The sequence below is a fragment of the Homo sapiens genome, chromosome 2 (assembly GCF_000001405.40).
Source record: "Homo sapiens chromosome 2, GRCh38.p14 Primary Assembly".
Classification (NCBI taxonomy): domain Eukaryota; kingdom Metazoa; phylum Chordata; class Mammalia; order Primates; family Hominidae; genus Homo; species Homo sapiens.
Genome location: NC_000002.12, coordinates 150409743 through 150430489, shown reverse-complemented (window position 1 = coordinate 150430489; position 20747 = coordinate 150409743). Strand labels below are relative to the sequence as shown.

The 20747-nt window shown below is 40.3% G+C and overlaps 1 long non-coding RNA gene across 1 annotated transcript, besides 3 other annotated features; it reads right to left on the bottom strand.

The window, feature by feature from the left end:
* Positions 1–1464: 1464 nt before the first annotated feature.
* LOC105373685 (uncharacterized) lies at positions 1465–3983 on the bottom strand. Its single transcript, XR_923470.3, has 3 exons — positions 3865–3983; positions 3562–3658; positions 1465–1701 (listed from the first exon to the last, which is right to left on the bottom strand). It is a non-coding gene; the product is annotated as an uncharacterized LOC105373685 (long non-coding RNA).
* Positions 4541–5041: an enhancer, noted in NCBI's record as "H3K4me1 hESC enhancer chr2:151281963-151282463 (GRCh37/hg19 assembly coordinates)". NCBI's record gives its function as "activates a minimal SCP1, AML or CMV promoter by ChIP-STARR-seq in primed H9 embryonic stem cells {active_cell/tissue: H9 hESC(primed)}" and the evidence as "EXISTENCE:reporter gene assay evidence [ECO:0000049][PMID:30033119]".
* Positions 5042–5542: an enhancer, noted in NCBI's record as "H3K4me1 hESC enhancer chr2:151281462-151281962 (GRCh37/hg19 assembly coordinates)". NCBI's record gives its function as "activates a minimal SCP1, AML or CMV promoter by ChIP-STARR-seq in primed H9 embryonic stem cells {active_cell/tissue: H9 hESC(primed)}" and the evidence as "EXISTENCE:reporter gene assay evidence [ECO:0000049][PMID:30033119]".
* Positions 18843–19732: an enhancer, noted in NCBI's record as "OCT4-NANOG-H3K27ac-H3K4me1 hESC enhancer chr2:151267272-151268161 (GRCh37/hg19 assembly coordinates)". NCBI's record gives its function as "activates a minimal SCP1, AML or CMV promoter by ChIP-STARR-seq in naive and primed H9 embryonic stem cells {active_cell/tissue: H9 hESC(naive and primed)}" and the evidence as "EXISTENCE:reporter gene assay evidence [ECO:0000049][PMID:30033119]".

The following is a 20747-nucleotide window of genomic DNA, read 5'->3' as shown; positions in this document are numbered from 1 at the left end:
AAACAATAAATAGGAACACCTATCAAATGTAAAAATACTTTGTAAATATAGAATAAAGTAAATAATAAAGTCCCTACTCTTTGCATTTTAGAATTTTTTGGGTATTGATTTTAAGTTTTGACATAATGCTTTTCTAATTTAAATTTTATTTATACTTGCAAAGATTTTGATTCAAATGCCTATTTCTTATTTGGAAACAACTATCTATACAATGGTTAGAAGAGAACGAATGCCTAAGCTTTGTGGTTTTTTTATTTGTAAAATTAATGTGTTGCATTCGGACAGAAATTTTAAAACTCAAGAGTAAGATGTTGGGCAGTTTAATTTAGGTGGTTTATCAAGAAGACATGCTTTTCTTTAGTGAATTAGGTGGTGACCTGTGGGCTCATGAATTATTTAACAAAAGTTATAGCCCAGAGGTCAGATCCTGGGAAGGGCATGGGCTGGGGGTATCTGCCAAGTTCAGTATGAGTCTGCATGTTTCCCTCCACTCTCATTCCTTGCTCTCCAATTGAAGTCCCCCACATTGCTGACTTGACTCTGAATTGTCCCTCTCAAGTGTACCTGGAAAGCTGCAACCTTTGCACTGAGGCAAAAATAGGAAACATTACAATTTGATCTCTTCAGGGCCAGTGTCATTGTTTTACTGTCTCCAGCAAACTCTAGGCCAGAAGGCTCATCTGGTATCAGTGTCATTCATGTGCAAAGCAGAAACTGAACTGCACACATTATCTTTGAGCTGAAATTGGTGTCTCCAGCAGTACCAGCCTCTTGAAGGGGTGGCATACACTTGAAGGTTGGTTATTAGTTCCAAATGCTGCAGAAGCATCTGCTCTCGACTAGCTAGAAATCATGTTTAATAACAAGAAAATCTACTCCAGCCAAATCCCTATTGGGAGGGCTCTTGCATGAACAAAAGGCCCCCACTTCCCCTGATTTCCATAACAGATGTAGTATCTGATGCATGACAGCTCAGCGCAGCCCTGCGCCATTATTCTCCTACATATCCATCTGCAAGAAACAGTGCTTTCATTTTATTAATTTCTCTGGTGGGCTACACTTTATGTTTTGCTGCCCAGAGAGTACTCTGTTTGTGCTTCATGCTATACTGGTCACAATAATAGTTATTTTTTCTTAATGTTAAAGGTTACTAACCTTCTTCCTTTACTTTGCTATGCATCTTCCATACCCAATAAACTATTAATACCTCCCTGGGGGGTTGACAATTTCACTTAAGTTTGTCTGGTCTTCCCAATCCTGGTGCTGCTTCTTTGTCTTATTGAACATTCTTGGGACAAGCCAGCTATGGGGGAAAGTCATTAGCCAGCTCCTAACTGCTGAATGCAGTTCCCAATGCTTTTTTTTATTATTATTATTTTTAAAAGGAACAGAACAAGAATTTTGACATTTGTAAGGCAACGGTGGCTTTGAAATCATATACACACGCAACCACAGACAAAAATATTTGCTACTTTGGAAAGACAAATGCTCTTTATTTGTAATTAATCCCAAGTCAGTTTTCTCCTACGGTGGAGTTTTAGGTAAATAGTGAGGTTTGCTTCCTGAGGCCAGCATGGAGCAGGCTGTAACATAGGCTGGTCATTATCCCATGTCACTTTGTCGTAGGATGCATCATAGAAGCTGCTATACTTGATAGCAAATGGGGCCCAGAAATGGGGGGAGGGAGGAACTGATGGAGTGCTTGAAAGAAAAAGAATAAAGAGAAGACAGAGTGGGGTAAGATGAGGAGCCATAAATACAGAATAAAGTAATAATATGTAATCTCCACATTTTCATTAAGTTTAGTAATTTGTTTTATTTTCTTAAAAATAAAGTAGGCAGTACATGTAAATTTTCATCCTTAAAGGAATCTGTTTGAAACTTAAAACATCATAACTTGACAGAAAGAAACTGAATTTGGCAATGAGTCCAAAATAGCATGAGTGTAGCTTTTGTTTAAGCTGTTAAAAAAAGGGAGGGAGAGAGAGAGGTACAGCTACAGTTGACAAAGGACAAAGCCACAACAACAAATATATATGAATTTGCCAAGGTCAAGCACATTTAAATAAAATTTGCATGTTTTTGTTAGCCAGTCATGTAGCATTTAGACACAAAACAGCAGGATAAATAAGCCACCTCTATTACCAAAATCTCCCAAATGGAGTCTCAAAACATTAGAGCAAAACTGAAATATCTCAAATGGCATTTTATTGCAAAAATAAAACATTCTATATCTATAAAAAGAAATGTATGTTTATATTAACCTGTCTCTGTTATGGTTTTTAATGTGCTGACAAGCAACTATTCAAAAAAAAAAAAGCAAGTAACAATAAAAATAAAACAAAAAACAGCAGTGAAAGCCATAACAAATTTACTTATAAGTACAATGTCACTGGAAATCTCTTAGGATCTTTATTTCTTTTTGGACCTGGCACATGTCTAATTATATATCCACTGATAAATCTTTTTAAAAAGTATAATTATAATAATAATCCTTCCATCACTTATGTTACAGGCTAATGCTACTATGTTAAACATTTTGCATATGGTTAGGTTTTGAAAAACCTAGCCTGGAACAAGTCTGCACAACGAAATCAGAAAAATATTAAGCCTTGTTGTGACTATATACTATTACTTTATTTCTTCTAGGGTAACCTTTATTACATAAAAGTAAATTTATATAATACTTTATTATATAAAGGTAATTGTACCAACCTAATAGAAGATATCCACCAAAATACCAATACCGAGAAAGGACTGTTCATTATATTTTGCCAAATATTATTTAATGGAAACAAACCCAATAAATTGGTTTTTAAAAGTAAACTCTATCATGTTATTGCATTAGATAATGTCAAGTGAAGGAAAGAAACAATTTACAGTTAGTAAAAGAGCAGACTGTCACTGTTCTGTGTTCTGTCCCTGACTTCACCCCAGTGCATTTCTCAACGCGGTTTCTTAATGAGGAGGGCAATTTATCCCTCAGCCCCTGTCACTGTGGCTGGAGTCGCAGCTGGCAGCCATGAGTACTCATCAAAATGGCCCTTTATGGGGTTTTGCTTCTTGAAGTGCATGATGGTTGGGTGGGCCTATGTTATTTTACTTCTGCTTCCCAGACCAAGTTTACCTGCCCCACACAATCAAGCTAATCCTCAGTGAGCATTCTAGATCTAAAAGAGATATTAGGGAGACTCTCATTCAATTCCTGCATTTCACAGATGAGAAAAAGGAGTGTCAATGCATTCATTAAGTAAATTGCTTAAGGATAATATGAGTTTGCGATTCCAATTCTGGGCTAGGAAAAAGCTTATGAGCAGCCAATTTGCAAAACAATAAAAATACTACCATCTATGTACACACTTTGTAAAAACATCCAGCACACTCGCATACAGCCTGTTTAATATTCTTTTCTTATCCCTCAAACTCTCAAAGAGGCTTGGTAGGCATCATTATCTCAGTGGGCCGTGATGAAGATAAAGGAAATGCTCTGGGTCAATTAGCAGAAATGTAGGCAAAATGGAAGGGTGAGAAAGAGGTGGGAAGAAGTCTATTTAAACATACCTGGAAACATTTGCTGACTCCCCACTGTGTGCCAGGCACCACAGCTCTGAAGATGAAAGACACCATCGTTCCTGTTCTTCAGGAGTTGGTGATCTAACTGGGGAGAGAGATATATAAGGCAATATCCACAGCATACTTACACAGGATGTTTTGGGAGCCCAGGAAGTGGGAACATGTGTCGACAAAAGCACACAAAGTTTAGCACAGGAGGGTCAACTCTTGCTGGGCACTGAAGGATGGGTTCAAGTTTGAGTCCATCAGTTAGACAGGGTAAGTACATTCATCATGGGGAGCATGCAGTACCAAAAAAGGGGGCCTGAAGAGGATGACAGGAGTCTCTTGAAGGGCTTCAAAGGAGTACTTCGACAATACCCTTGGACTCCCTTCTGCTCTGCCCTTCGAGATTATTTTTCATCATAAACAGGCTGTGGTTACCAAGAATGTCTAGTAATATGAACATTAGAGGAAGTGTAGTGAGAACACAGTAATAAAAAGACTTAGTAAGTCAGAGGAAATAAAAGAACTGAAACCATGCAACAATATAAAGAATGAGGATATTTATTTAAAAAAAAAAAAAAAAAAAAGAAAACTTTTCCTGCAGCAGTGGTACAGGTGTACCTGATGAGGAAATGAAAGGTCATCCTTAACACCAACATTTCATTGAGCTTTGATTGTTTTATGCTAGTCTCCCTAATTTATCCTTTTTTTTTTTTCCTCTCTCTCTTTAACACAAGCAGTGTCTAAAGTTGTAGCTAATGATGATCTATGTTTTGTTCCCAAAAGACCTGAATAACAAATAGTTTCCTTTGGGCCCAGTGGCAATGCCTTGCTCCAGGAGGGAGAAGAGGTGAGTGAACTGAAAATCAGCAGCCTGCTGAAAACGCTAGAGAGAGAGGATCTGCAACATTCAGGCGCAAAAGGAAAACTTCTCTCCCTGTCTTTCCACGCAGGAGCCCTATTAACCCAGACACATTTCACCCTCACATCGGGAAATCCTAATATAGACAAGTCCACCTCCTCTGCCTGGTTCCCCTAAACTCACAACGATCTTTAAGATGAAAATGAAAACTGCATTTCATTAAGTGAATATAAGGCAATTCAAACTAAGTCAGAGGAAGGAAACTGGGGCAGGCCCTACATAAATTAATATTGTGAAAGGAGGAAATTTCCCTATTCCGATGTTAAGCAGCATTCTGGATTTGTACAGAAAATGCAGTGGAAGCCTTTAAAGTTTCACCAGCACTGTTTCTTCTCTCGGCCATTGTCTTCTTACTAAAAAAAGGAGGCGAGGAAAACCTGAGGATACCATTTTGGGGGTGCCTAGAGGTGGGGTGTACTTGAAAAGGAAACGTAAAAGGGCTTAACTCTATTCATTGCGCCCTTTCATTTTCCTCTAAATGGCAGCACAGCGTTCATGCCAGTGCCCAGGCCGGGGGAGCTGGCAGAACGACGCGGCACTGAGAGGCAGCTGAAGCCTTTCATGGTGACAGCTTTTCTCCCAATGTGTCCTGGTAGGAGTTTGAGTTGACAGACAACAAAGGATGGGGAGGGGAGGGATTCCGACAAACAAGCCGAACAACCACCATCGTCCTCTCCATAACGGCGCCTTGGCTAAGGGACAAAGAGAACAAATCTACCCTGGGAAAGTGTCCCTGGCCCCTCCTGCCTCCGGTTATCTTTAGTGTGCGCAGGAACAGAGAGCTCAAGGGTGAGGCAGCTCAGCGCTGCCCCCCTGCGGGTCAGATGTTTTGGGGGTTTGGGAAAGAAAAAAAATTCCCTGGAAAACGGGTCTAACATCAGAGAAGAAAGTCTTTGCAGGGGCTTGTTAAACCGCTACAGGATGAAAAGTTTTGTTCCCTTCCCCAGCCCCAAGACCATGATGAGGGGGTATAGAAGCTATCTTTTCCCAGTGCCCACACAGTGCCTGGCACACAGTGGGTGCTCCAAAGAGCAGTGTTTAAATAGAATGAAAAAAGGAAAAACAGTGCTGGTATCTCCAAATGCCCAAGACCAACAAATCTCACATCTCAACCTTTATAGAACCCTTGTGCAGTTTATTTGGAATTTCTCTGTTCTTGAAAGGACTGGGCAGCTTGTTGGTGTTTCAAAATAAGGGTATAAGAAAATCATGTTCATCTGAGCTTTTTCTGTCACATGCCTGGAAACAGCCAGTGACACGTTGCATACCACTTGAGGATCAGATGATTAGTAGTATCAATGACGAAGCATCACGATAGATTTTAGCATTTTTGATAAGCACATCTTTGAGGAATTTTCCATGTGTGGCTGGAGTCATTAAGCAGAGCCTGTGAAAGTGCTCAGGAAGCTATTATGCTGACAAAGCCGGCAAATGGATTTCTTCTTTGCGGCGTGTCAGCATGTGTTTATATGTTATGACAGAGAGAGGCCCAGCACAATTTTCCTCCAGTCAATGTGATTCTAGCAACATTACCAAATAAAAACATGAGTCTGGGTATGGCTGGTGAGTAGGTCTCCAGAGAAATGTAAAGGCTCATTTCATAGACACATTAACAAGCAAGTTGGTTTGTCATGAAAGAAAGCGGTGGTGCAAAACCCAAGTGGTTGAGATGTGGTCCCCCAAATGGAGGGCCCACACACACGAGTGTCACGAGCAGCTTGATAACTATTCCAGACCATTTCTTTGTGAAATCCCTCCATGGGATGAATAAATGATGTATGAAATGAGGATGCCCCAACTCCACAGGGAGCACAGAGAGGACACTTCACACTGTAATGTGTAGTTTCTGATGGGTTTTGGCTGTGACCCCTGGGCATAATTTCTATCCAGCTGTGTGGAGCCAAACAGTCTCCCACAACCCTGAACACCAGAACTCACACACCCTTTTCTTATCCTGCCAGGAAAATACTCTCCCATGTTTGCTTGTAAATTTCTTTCATCACAGAGACTTCTCCACCTCAGCACCCCAACAGCCAGCTATAGTGGTGACACTTCATAATTACAGTTATCAAGCAAGATGTATTACAAAATCTGGTGATAAATTGCTTGAATTCCATCACCAGTATATCCAAAGCCTTTGAGAGAGAGACAGAGAACTGCAGGTTTGCAGACCCTTGAGGACATACAAACATTTTTTTTTTTATTGTAACATGATTCCAACTTCTGTAATCCAGGTGGAATTGTAATTCTATGCTAGAACATTTATGTCCATCCAAGCAGTGCTAAAGTCAGGATAGGAAGCTTAACATTGTAATCAGTGACATGTGGACTATCTTGTGGGAAATTATCAACTCTAGGAAGCTCTACCCATTCATTACCAAGGATGCTTGTAGAACATCTCTTCCTGAAGACACTTGGTATATGTTAAAACAATTATGAACATTATTGGCATAATGAATGAAATAATTTGAGAGATAACACTTTAAACTAACAAAAATAGGTAGGCAATACATTTCAAATCCATTCAAACCTTTGAATTTGGAAGGTTCACTGTGGGTTTTATTTAAGTATCATGGTTGTCTCTATCCACCAGAGGATCTGATTAAGCAGTTGCTACCATGGAGCTGCCAAGGTGTCTTAGTGTGGAAATCCTGTGTCTGCTCACCTCCCTCTACACACTTTTTCCTTCTCTCAGCCACAGTCATGCGGGTCCTATGGTAGCTGCCCCATCCAACGTGATTGTTCCAAGCTGAGTCTCTCACAGTACCTAGTCCTGTTTACCACAATGTCCCTGGCTCATATTGCGTCACTCAGAGTCCTCCCCTGCATGTGAATTAGACTTCTTTGATGGAAAAATTTGTGGGATTAAGCTCCGAAGCCCTGAAGTTTCCCTCCATATGGAGGAAGATGGACTGGTGTGTAGGGAAATAACAGGTATGAGCAGAGAGAGGCAGAGACTCAAGACACAGACCTTTCCCCTGTTCTCACTCTGACCCAGATTAGGGCTGCCAGATCGAGCAATACAAATACAGGACACTTAATTAACATGTGAACATCAGATTTAAAAAATGAATTTTTTTAAGCGTAACCATGTTCCATGCAATACATGTAATTTTATATTACCACAGATACTTTACTGACTACCGACTATAACAGTGACACCTCAATATGGAAACTCAACGGGAATCCTGTATTTATCTGGTAACCCCACTCCAGATAAATTGCATCCTCACTGTCTCTTGGAATTCCAGACACTCTCTTACTTTAGGGACTATGCCTGGATATTCTTTCTGCCAAGGTTGTTCTTACCTTGATATACCCCTGGATAACCTTCATCCCTTTCAAGTATTTGCTCAATTTTCACTGTTTCCTTCCCAAATTTCCCACTGAACACCACAGTCTTACACTCCATCACCTTTGCTCTGCTCTAAGTTCCCTCTTCCCAATAGCACATATTGCCTTAGTATGCTCCAGACCTTAATTGTTATGTGTGTTTTTATTATGTGTCTCCCTCTGCCAGAATATAAGCTCCAGGATGGCAGAGATCCAATGTATCCCAAACTCCCAGGGGGCCTGACATTGAGTATGTGCTCAATAGAAAACTGTTGAAGGAATGACAGAGAATTTGCCCGCATTCTGGGACCCACTTACACTATTCAAATTCTTTGAGTCTATAACTTCCATTTTGCATGAACTAATTCACATTCCAGGTTTTCATGTAACCAAAAGAGTCCTGGTTTCAATGAAGCCCTTCCAGTAGTTGAAGAGAGTTACCACCTTCTCTTTTAGGCTTCCCATTTATTCATTTATTCACTCATCTCAACATGTATTTCGCTGACCCTGTATTCTAGATGCTATGCTAAGCACCAGAGATAGTGGAAGAATTAGACTCAGACCTTGCTCTTGAAGCAGTCACAATCTACGATGGGACCTGGGGCAAGTTTTGCTCTATGCTCTTGAGTTCCCTCATCAATAAACTGGAGGTAGGAATGGTGCTCACTTCATGATTTTATTGTGCAGATAAAATGAGATGACCGGCCGGGCATGGTGGCTCATGCCTGTAATCCCAGCACTTTGGGAGGCTGAGGCGGGCAGATCACCTGAGGTCGGGAGTTTGAGACCAGCCTGACCAACATGGAGAAACCCGTCTACTAAAAATACAAAAAAATTAGCCGGGCGTCGTGGCGCATGCCTGTAATCTCAGCTACTCGGGAGACTGAGGCAGGAGAATTGCTTGAACCAAGGAGGCGGAGGTTGCAGTGAGCCGAGATCGCGCCATTGCACTCCAGCCTGTGTGACGGGGTAAGACTCTGACTGAAAAAAATAAAATAAAAAAAGGAGACGACTTTGGCCTATGTCCAATAAGTAGCAGCTATTATTATTAATACTAATAGTAAAGGCAGAGCTGTCACACTGACAGGTGGCATATTCTGCAAAGTGAATAGAGTTTTCTGGAATTGTGACAGGAAAAATCTTACATGGCTATATGTGGAAGACTTGTCAATAAATAACTTGATATACTATGACAGATACAATAAAAAATATATGTGCAAAGTGCAAAGATAGCACAAAGAAGGAAGTGACTGGCTCCTGGGAACACAGAAGGACAAATGGCTTTCCAGGATAAAAAACAAATAAACAAACAAAAAAACACAGAGGTCAAACTTCAAAGAATTATAAAGAGTTTGATATTGCTAAAGCAATAATGAGTGGTAGGTGGAGATAACAGTCAAGACATACACAGGGGGAAATCTTATAAAAAGTATTTTACAGTGTACAGTAGACTTTGGGGCTTTGTCTTTGAGACTTCATCATCAGACTTGTGCTTTCAATAGGTCATTGTGGAAGAGCATATAGACAGCAGGCTGGTCAAGAAGATGAGCAGTTAGGAGGCAATCAGAACACACACATAAGATGGCTGAATCTGGTTTCATGAGCTGAAAACTCCCTGATGTTACCTATTTGTTGTTTTTAATGGGCCTCAGTTTTACAACAAGCCTTTGAAAGTGCTGCACTCAGCCACTCTCTGATGAAGATGGAATGAGCTGACCACCCTGGAACACCTTCCCAGCTGCACAGCAATAGTGATTGATAGTTTGCTCCTGCTGAATGGGGCTATGAGTGGATTGAGGGTTACTTATTGGCACAAACAGAAAACAGGCTATCTTTATACCGAAAGCAATACACTCTCCAGCCCTACCCACTGCCCATTCTTCTGGTTGACCAGCTCACTTCTGGGTTCCGATTCTGATGACTAAATAAAGCTCTATGCATATAATTTTCTTCTCCCTTTCCCTTCATTTTGGGATTATGTATAGACATTATAAATAGAAGTTTTATTCAGGGCAAGAGGGGGCCTAACAGAGATCAGCTACTGTACAAACATTTCAAAGACAAGACTGAGGGTAACAGGAAAAAATGTTTGGTTTGTTTTGCTTTTCCTAGAATAAAGGCAGGTAGAAGACTACAGCCTTTCTTTGCTTTGAAACAAAGGTTTTGAACTAATTTTATTGTTTGCCAAAAAAAAAAAAAAAGAAAGAAAGAAAAATACCATTCCCTCAAAATGGCTAGAAGATGGTAGTTTACAATGTTAATATAGAAAGAAAGGATTAAAAAGAAAACTAAAAAGAACTTGGAGAGCAAGAAAAGATCTACTATAATATATTCTGAAAAGCTAGGAAAACTATAATTATTGTGTTAATCTTTGCTTACTTAGGTAACTGGGAAATTACATTTTCAGCTCCGATATAACATAGACAAAATAAAAAAGAGAACATAATGACAAAAAGAAACCTCCTTGGTAGATTTGCACATCTAAAATTTGGATTAATAACTACTGTTTTTTTTTTTTCTTTCTTTTTAAATAACTAGTTCTTACTTCAGGTTATAGTAGTCTTAAGTAACTTGAGACTTTGGACATTTTAAGTAAACACATAAAAGAAGAAAGCATTTTAAACCTTTGTTTATCTATCAAAACCATATTCTGTAGAAGAATTTAGAGCCAGAGCATGAGGGTAATTTTTTTGTGTGTGATTCCCCAAGAGAAATTGGAGAATGATTTCAGTGAGATGGGAAATCACAGTGAATCATGTAACAAGAAAGGTTGAAGTGAGAATGAAATCCAAAAGTATCAGCTATAGTCCCCTAATTCTTAGGAAGTTGGAAAAAAATAAAAATGTAAAAGTGCACATAAAAATTCTTAAATAAGGAAATGAATGTCTTTCATTTAAGAAACAATTAAGGCATCACATAGTTTTCAGGGCTCTGTAGATACTGGGGTAAATTTAAAAGGTGCCTGACCTCAAACAAAGTACTTAAACCCTAGTAAGCATTTAGCACAGATACAAATTAGGATTAAGAGGGAAAGAAGAAAGAAAGGTAATATATCTTGGCTACCTACTAAGATTCAGGAAACGTGTTGTTTTCTTTCAGTAATATTTGCTTTTCAGTTCTCACTGAACTATATTTTTACAGATGAAATTTACTAAAGTAAAATCAGGCTTATTCACATGAAAACATCATCCTGCATTTAGAAAGTAAAATTAATTTTAGCAATTTAATTGTTAAGAAAACAGATCAAAAATTGCATCTTCTAAGTCACTATTTTTCAAACCTTTTAAGAAATAGCACACGATGGAAAAAGGATAGTATTTGTACAGCACTGGAAGTGAATGAAAGAGGCTTCCCTCAGCCTGAGAGAACAAACCCCCTTAGCAGCATCCCCTCCTGCAAGCCCCCTGGGTCGAGGGGCTCAGAATCTCTTTTCAGGAAGCTTGTGGCCCATGTAGAGTTGGTATACCAGTTGTCTCTGCTTAAAAAGCACAGAAACAGGTGGCAGAGTTACAGAAACAGCAGAAAGATCATCCTTCCTGTTGTAATTCTCTTAGCTTACCCCTGTCCCCAGCCCCTCAGTGGAAGATTTAAGTCTCTACATGTTTGCATAATGTAAGAATCAAAGGTAAAGATGAGATGAATATTGCTCATATGCAATAGGCAGGAATCCACTGACTAAATACATGTAACATATCCAAGAAAGGGGATTTGCAATGACCAGAAAGATTATTGATCAAGAATGTACATTAAAAAAAACTAATTGTTTTCAAATCTAATTAAAAAGAAAAAGAATGAGATTAAAGTATTATGCCTTAGATATCCATCTATGTTCTTTTCTTTGATACATTTTTTTAAAATAGAAGCAAAAATCTAAACAAATTTTAATTGCATTATTCAGAAGCAAAATCTGCATTGAGAGTAGAACAAAGAAATGTTTTCCACTGTGCTGAGTCCTCACCAGCAAGGTGTCAATGTTAGTTTTAATTATAACTTTTAGCATTCTTCCACGTTATTGATTGTGCAGCAAGAATGTAATGTGATAAATCTTGTCTCCTGGAGTCGCCTTACTGTTTCTTCCATTCCAAAGTAAAATTTCACAAAAATCTGTACATTTTTCATATTGAGACTGTGACATTATGCATCCATACACACTCAGATATTTTGGTTAAAAACATGATACCAATTTTTATTAGAACCTCCTGCCAGAAGATTTCCATTAAGATTAATACAGATACGTAGACTCATTTACATGTTGGTCAATGTTGCCATATGCAATGATGGGAAAGCCTGGCCCCAGGTTGAATCCTGACCCTGTCTCTTGAGATACTACTCACAGATACTACTTACAGCCTCAGTTGCCTTTTCTGTAAAATGGAAGTCTACTTTGGAAAACGTATAGTAAGGCATTTTGCACACTAACCTTTTTGGCATGGGAGTAGGAGTGTCAGAGGTATGTGAACCAGAGCAACTCCATCTTGAATCAGAGCTGGGTAAAATAAGGCTGAGACCTATTGGGCTGCATTCCCACACTGTTAAGGCATTCTAAGCCACAGGATGAGATAGGAGGTCGGCACAAGATAAAGGTCATAAAGACCTTGCTGATAAAACAGGTTGTAGTAAAGAAGCTGGCCAAATCCCGCCAAAACCAAGATGGCCATGAGAGTGATCTCTGGTGATCCTCACTGCTACACTCCCACCAGTGCCATGACAGTTTACAAATGCCATGGCAACCTCAGGAAGTTACCCTATATGGTCTAGAAAGTGGAGGCATGAATAATCCACACGTTGTTTTGCATATAATCAAGAAATAAACCATAAAAATGGGCAACCAGCAGCCCTCAGGGCTGCTGTGTCTATAGAGTAGCCATTCTTTTATTCCTTTACTTTCCTAATAAACTCCGTTTCACTTTACAGACTTACCTTGAATTCTTTTTTGCGTGAGATCCAAGAACTCTCTTTTGGGGTCTGGATCCAGACCCCTTTCCAGTAACAGAGGGATGGATTTGGGATGAAACTGTTCCACCTCAGATCATCAGGCATTAGATTCTTAAGTAGCTTACACAAGCTAGATCCCTGACGTGCACGAACAGTTCACAATAGGTTTGTGCTCCTGTGAGAATCTAATGCCTCAGCTGATCTGACAGGAGGTGGAGCTCAGGAGATAATTGGAGCAATAGGGAGCAGCTGTAAATACAGATGAAGCTTCTTGGCTCAGCAGCTGCTCACCTCCTGCTGTGTGGTCCAGTTCCTACAGGTATGTGGCCTGGGGCTTGGGGACTCCTGATTTAGCTCACTGTAGATACTCAATAAATGTTACCTTTTGCCTAGATGGTAGCCTCATGTCTCTGGGCTCTGAAAAGCCGAGGAAATTAGAGAGCACCCTCAGGTGCTTAGGGTTGACAGCTAGATGCCTTAGGCTAATTACAATAAAAGCCCTTCTCAGCAGTTTGACACAGGCCCCATCAATTCATTATTTCAGGCAGCCAATTCACTATCATTCTTAGTTCCTAATTTGACTTGTTAACATTTTGTAGTTTGGGTCCTAATTGAGGATTTTCCAATACATGGTCAGAGTAGATTTTGCAATTTGGCAGAATCCGTGAAATGTATTCTTCCTAACCCATGATAATTTCCTTTATCAAAGATTTGGCCTGCACAGGCTGAATTTCCTATCAGAGAACTAACAGATCCAGCATCCAAGAGAGGAATCTACCTTAAAATTGTATTCAACTTAATGGAAAAGTAGCCCAGTCAAAAAATATATTATATAAACAAAAACCATTTTGTAGACTTGGTTGACACACAAATAATCCAGAGCTATTTAAGGAGAAATATTTTTTGGCAGTTAGATAAAACAGCTTGAGTTAAGGCTAGATAGAACATCTTAGCAATAACTTTACCTAATTAAAGCAAAATCCCTGCTTAGAGAGCTATTGAGAACCTGAGATTTTGAGGCTTTGTCTTTGTTTCATTTTTAATTTCAGAGCTTGGCTCTCCCCCAGATATTTGATTAGTTGATCTCTATTTTAGACAGAATTGGCTAAATTGTGCTGCGGTAATAGACAATCTCATCAGAGAAGCATAACAAAAGTTAATTTATTATTCATGCTACACATCCCACACTGGTCCATCGGAGTTCTGCTCCATAGAATTACTCAAAAAGGGCCAGGCACGGTGGCTCCTGCCTGTAATCCCAACTCTTTGAGAGGCTGAGGCAGGCAGATCCCTTGAGCTCAGGAGTTTGAGACCAGCCTGGCTGACATGGTGAAACACTGCCTCTACTAAAACTAAAAAAATTAGCTGGGTGTGGTGGTGGGCACCTGTAATCCCAGCTACTCGGGCGGCTGAGGCAAGAGAATTGCTTGAACCTGGGAGGCAGAGGTTGCAGTGAGCCAAGATAGCCCCATTGCCCTCCAGCCTGGGTGAAAGAGTGAGACTCTGTCTCAAAATAAATAAATAAATAACAAAAACAAAAGAATCACTCAAAAAGTTGGGTACATCATTTTGTAGTTCTAATATCTGTAATATAAGACCTTCTTGGTCACAATGACAGGGGAAGGGAGAAAAATCAGAGAATTGCCCATGCATTTTCTTTCTTTCTTTCTTTCTTTTTTTTTTTTTTTGAGACAGAGTTTCGCTCTTGTTGCCCAGACTGGGGTGCAATGACGTGATCTTGGCTCACTGCAACCTCCACCTCCCAGGTTCAAGCAATTCTTCTGCCTCAGCCTCCCAAGTAGCTGGGATTATAGGCATGCACCACCATGCCCGGCTAATTTTGTGTTTTTAGTAGAGACGAGGTTTCTCCATGTTGAGGATGGTCTCGAACTCCTGACCTCAGGCGATCCGCCCGCCTCGGCATCCGAAAGCGCTGGGATTACAGGTGTGAACCACCGCTGCTGGCCGCACTTTTTTTTTTTTTTTTTTTTTTTTTTTTGAGACGAGTCTTGCTTTGTCTCCAGACTGGAGTGCAGTGACCCGATCTCAGCTCACTGCAACCTCCAACTTCCTGGTTCAAGCAATTCTCCTGTCTCAGCTTCCCGAGTAGCTGGGATTACAGATACGTGCCACCATGTCTAGCTAATTTTGTATTTTTAGTAGAGACAAGGTTTCACCATGTCGGCCAGGATGTTCTTAATCTCCTGACCTCTTGATCTGCCCGCCTCGGCCTCCCAAAGTGCTGGGATTGCAGGCATGAACCACTGCACCCGGCCTGCTCTTGCACTTTTTACTGCCTGAGACTGGAAGTATTAAGCAGCATCTATTTACATTTTATTAGGCAAAACTAGTCTTGCCTAATAGCAAGAAAACTGAAGAATGTAGAGAAACAAATTAAATATTTGGTGAACATTACTGTATATTATATTTCTCTTGCACTGGCAATTTTTAAGTTATTAGTTCACTAAGATTCAGCATTTCTTTTAGGGAAAGAAATATTATTAGTTTTTTGCTAATTCATCACTATTTGCAATTAAAATAAGCAGCTAAATTTACTTTTTCTAAAAGACATTAGTCCTTCATACTGGCTCTGCACTTACAATACATTCCAAGGGTTTTTGAGCTATTCATGTCATGAGTATTTTTAATCATATTTCATCTAACACTAATTTATCCAATTTGTAGAAATTGCTTATCTGAAAAAAAATACAATTTTTCTTTGTGCAGCAACAGGTTCACTGGCAGTCTGATTAGCTGGTTCACCAGATCTGTGAAACGGCTGTCACAAACTCCCAAATCCTCAAATCTTCTTTTTAAGCAAGGGTCAAAAAATTTTATACCTATTCACCACCTTCAGCAACAGAAGATAGAAAAGAAAAACACTTCTACATTCAATATATGTTTTGCACTTTTAAAGAAAGTCACAGATAATACATATTTTACATGTTCATGATTGTTGGTGATCAAAGGAGTAATACGGTGCTAAGAAAGTTGCTTTTATAGAAACCATCTTTTGTGAAATGACAGTATTTCTTAAGAGTTAGCTGTGACCAAGTCTCAGATAGACAGCCTTGGCATCAGCATGTGGACTTGCAATAATATGAGTATGAGGGGTATATGTCTGTAGGTGTATGTATGTGTGTGTAGGGTTGTGCTTTTTAGAGGAACCTCAAGACCTGATTTCCAGGGACCTCTGTGTATGTCTGTCAGGCTACTTGCAGTACTAAAATTCCCATATCCAATCAATTGTCCAGTTTTTTCCCCTTCTTTCTTTTTCTGCTTTCCTTAGAAGTTTTATTTTTTTAACCTTCTGAAGTAAATTTAGTTGGTGGATTGCAGTATATCCATGTTCAACCTGTTGAGTAATATCTCTAGGCTGATTGTCAGCCATCTGGGTATGGTAGGAAAGAGTCATTGGTCTTTTCTGCTAGCCTCTTCTAAGGGTTATGGTGAAGAAGCTTTGGGATTATTTTTAATTATGACTGTGTAACAGAACTGCACATGGTCTCCTAGTATCGATCCTTCCTTCCTTCCTTACTTAAGGCAGAACAGATACATTTTAGCTGGGAACGTGGCCAAGAATGACCCTCACAGCTGGATCAGGCCACAGGTTTTGGCCATTGAGCTCTAAGTAGAAGTCTCATGTGAGACTCTTGAGTTCACTGTCTTTCTCACTTCCTCTTTTCCACTGGCTGGAATTCAGGGATGATGGTTAGAGTTTGAATCTTTATTGTGGACTGTCAGATAAGTGTCACAGGCTGAAGATAGGATGGTGCAACAGCATGAGAGAAGGAGCCAGTTCCATATGACTTTGTGATGCCATTCTATCAGTCTTCCATCTTCAGACCATGTGTGTGCATGTATGATGGAAATATACTTCTATAAAGTTAAGCCATTTTAAATTTTCTGTCACTCACAGTAAACCCAGTCCTAACACACACACAACATATGTAGCACCATTGATGGTCTTATCACAGGCGTATCTTCATTTTTTCTCCCCTAACTATGGCCGTCTTTAGGCCCTGAGGTTTTAAAACATGTGGGGGAACAGGTTGATGCTGGCATGTGTTCCATGCTCTTTCACTCATCATGTTTCAAGTAACTAACAGCTGTTTCCATGGTTCCGCGTGCTGGTTTCATCTTCTTTCTTAAACCTCTCTCAGCTCATCCGCCAGCTGCCTATCCTGGGGAAGACAGCCAACCTTCTTGTCCCGTGGCAGCACTGGGTCAGAGTCACTCTTGGAATGCAGGTGGAATTAGTCAGGAGAGGGGTTCCTGCCTAGGGAGGGTAGATGAGGGGCCAGTGGCTCTACAGCTCTTACTTCTTAAATGTCACCTCTGCTGCCATGCTCGGCAGATTCCATTAACTTATTTCTCAGTGGTGGCCCTAGCCTCCAATCCTTCAATCCATACTGCAGGGGGCTCACAGATTGACAAAAGGTGAATACTGACAAGCATGCAGTGGTTACTTATTGACTCACTGTTGTTTATTTTCTGCTTTTTCAAGAGGGCCCATCGGAGAAGCTTGGAAGGAGAGGCAGCTGCCACCCTACTGGTAGTGCTCTATCCCTCCATCGTTCTGTTGGTTAGCTCTTCCCTCTGTTCCTACACGGCGCTCTGCCCCAGCTACTGCTGCTAGCCTACATTTCTAGACTACCCAGGATTCATCTACTGCAACTTTAAGTGAAACAACATAGAACTAAACCAATGTTGTTTTTTTTTTTTCTCATCAACATTATAATGAAACAATGTTGAAAGAAATGATATGATTCTAGGGCCTGCAGTACATTTTGCTTAAAGTCGCAGTTTCTAAGAACATATTGGAGAAGTTAAGTGAGAATTTCTGCGCTTGTACATTCTTCTTCTCATGTGTCCACACAGAGAAAGGAGGTAGGATGAGGATTCTTAACTGCCACTTTATAGAAAGGAACCCTGGGCTCAAAAAAGTCAACTGGCATAAGATCATACCATGAGTTAGTGGCAGAAGCAAAACTAAAACCTAGGTTTTTCAAGTCCAGTAGGGTTATAGAGGCTTAAGTCTGAGAAGGAGGACCCTAACGCTTACAACTTTTGAGCAATGTCATTTAACTTAGGCCCAGCTTGCTCCTCCTTGGTCTGATAATGTTGCTAAGAGAAGGCTTCTGGAGTAGTTGAAAGGACATGGCCTCAGAGTCAGGGAGGTGTTGATTGGAGTCCTGCCTCTAACCCAGACTATCTATATGACTTTGAGCCCATTTTTTAACCTCTGAACTTGGGGTTTTTTGTTTGTTTGTTTGTTTTTGTTTTTGGCACAGCAGAGAATTACAGCAGTAACACATCTGTTTTCCGGCAAGCTATGAAGATTAGGACTAATATGTAAAGAGAGTGGCACATGTTAGGAATTTGATATATGCTAGAATTTTTTTTTTTTCTTTTTTTTGAGATGGAGTCTTGCTCTGTCTCCCAGACTGGAGTTCAGCGGCTCAATCTCGGCTCACTGTAACCGCTGCCTCCCAAGTTCAAGCGATTCTCCTGCCTCAGCCTCCTGCGTAGCTGGGATTACAGGTACCTGCCATCATGCCCAGCTAATTTTTGTAGAGATGTGGTTTCACCATGTTTGCCAGGCTGGTCTTGAACTCCTGACCTCAGGTGATCCGCCTGCCTTGGCCTCCCAAAGTGCTGGGATTACAGGCGTGAGCCACCACGCCCGATCATATGCTAGACTTTTACCTCAATTCAGCTGACATCTGTTTATTTCCTGCCATGTTCAAGGACCTGTGTTGGGTGTGGTACAGCCTCAGGGCTGGCAAGCCTTGGGTGTGGCACACCACCTGTGATAATCAGCCTCTTCATCCTTTCTGGTCCTCTATCTCTCCACTTGATCTGAACATATCAATGGGTGTCTGGGCATAAGCTTCCTCAGATGAGAGTTGGGTCAGGCCAGTGCACTCACATCTTTTTCACATTTTTCTGCAATGGGCACAGTTTCCAGAGTGAATATCTGGACACATTCTATAAAGTAGTCTCTCAAAAAAACCACACAAATACTTGCAGCATTGCTCTGGATTTCTCATTGAAATGGATGAATCCGTGATGCATGAAAAGGCTGTCAGGCAGGCTGAGGAAGGCTGAATGCTGGTATAAAGCTGGGCATCTGTTACTCCACACCCCAATGTGCAGTCTGTTCTCCTGGGTGAAGCAAGGCTTGACTAGACAAGCAGTACCATTGTAAAGTCCTGACAATAGACAAGCAAGAAGACTTGGCTGTGATGAAGAAATCTTCACCCCCTTTGAGTTTTAAAGGAAGGGAAGCTGGGGTCCAAGGCCTGCCTTATTAGAGAGAGACAAATCACCCAAACCAATCTTTATTATGAATGCCGAGCTATTGAATTTCCTCTGCTCTGTAAAGCCTATTGATTTTGTGACAGTCAAAGATAAGTTATGCCCATGAAAGTTGTTTTTTTCTTCCTTTTCCTTCACAACATATTTTTTCAGACATATTGGCATTGGGGATTTAAGTATAACTGTTATTGGTTTCTTTCTATTTAAATGTAGGTCAGTGCTCAAGCGAAACTAAGAACCATTTTTACTGTGACTTCCAATGCAAAATAAATGAGGCAAGAATCTCCAGACCTGGGGTCACTCTGTTATGTTATTTCAATCTCCAGCAGGAATGCTCCAGGCATCTCAGGCATTTCAGGAATTCTGACATTAGCAATGATCCACTTATTCACTCTTTGTCCTCTCTCTACCACACCACTCTCCGCTTATTGACCTGTATTCCCTTCCCACCAAGCCATACCATAAGATCAGTCAACCAAGGTGTCGAAAGGCAACACTTGAAAGAAGCACTTGCTGCCATCTAAAATGTCTGCAGTGTGAGTATGCATGAGTATATTCTGTATCAATAAAACATTTCTTACACTCTAGATGTGTCTTTTTAAATGAGCAAATTTCATTTCCACACTTCACAAAGATAGTGGCTCCTCTCTTGATAATTTATTCAGAATTCTATAATATTATAAAAATACTTTGGCAACGCATACACAAGCATGTAAAAGCAAAGCATCATGGCTCACACTACTGACTTTTAAAGAAAATTGTCACAAATATATTCCAGATGGCAATAGCATTTATGATGGCTCAGGTACCATTTTAAATCACAAAGCTTATAAGTTACTTTAAAAATATTTCTGAATGTGCAAGTGTCAAATAAACACAAACGAAAGTCCTCTTATATATGCAGTGGACTTTAAGCCCTGATTAATACTCACCAATGTATTCACTCATGCATTCATTCATTGAGCACATGGATATTGAATACCAACTATGTTCCAGGCATAAAATAAGAACATTGTGGATTAATCTCTCTTTTCAAAATTATAATGAGCTTGATTTTACAATTTACTGGCTAGAAAACCTGCATTCAGATTAACCAGAGAAACATGGAGGCAAGAACTGTCGTCACATTCTCTTTTCCCCCATTCTCCTACTTCCCTTAGAGGGAAGACCTTCTGTTTCAGTGGAGTAGACGGCTAGGGAAGATACTTTGGTAGAGCTCATGAAAGCAGTGCTCTCTGTGACTATTCCTCCCCATCAATATGCATAGAATGGGTTTTCCCAAGTCAACTTACCAAAAACTTTTTATTTTTTTTTTCAAATAAGAAGCATATCGGCCGGGTGTGGTGGCTGACACCTATATCCTAGCACTTTGGGAGGCTAAAGTGGTCAGCTCATTTGAGGTCAGGAGTTTGAGACCATCCTAGCCAACATGGTGAAACCCCATCTCTACTAAAATACAAAAATTAACTGGGCATGGTGGCAGGCGCCTGTCATCTCAGCTACTGGTGAGGCTGAGGCAGGAGAATCACTTGAACCCAGGAGGCAGAGGTTGCAGTGAGCCGAAATCATGCCACTGCACTCCAGCCTGGATGGCAGAGCGAGACTCTCTCTCAAATAAATAAATAAATACAGAAAAATAAGAAGCGTCTCATGAGGAAAAAAGGTAAAGTGTCATTCC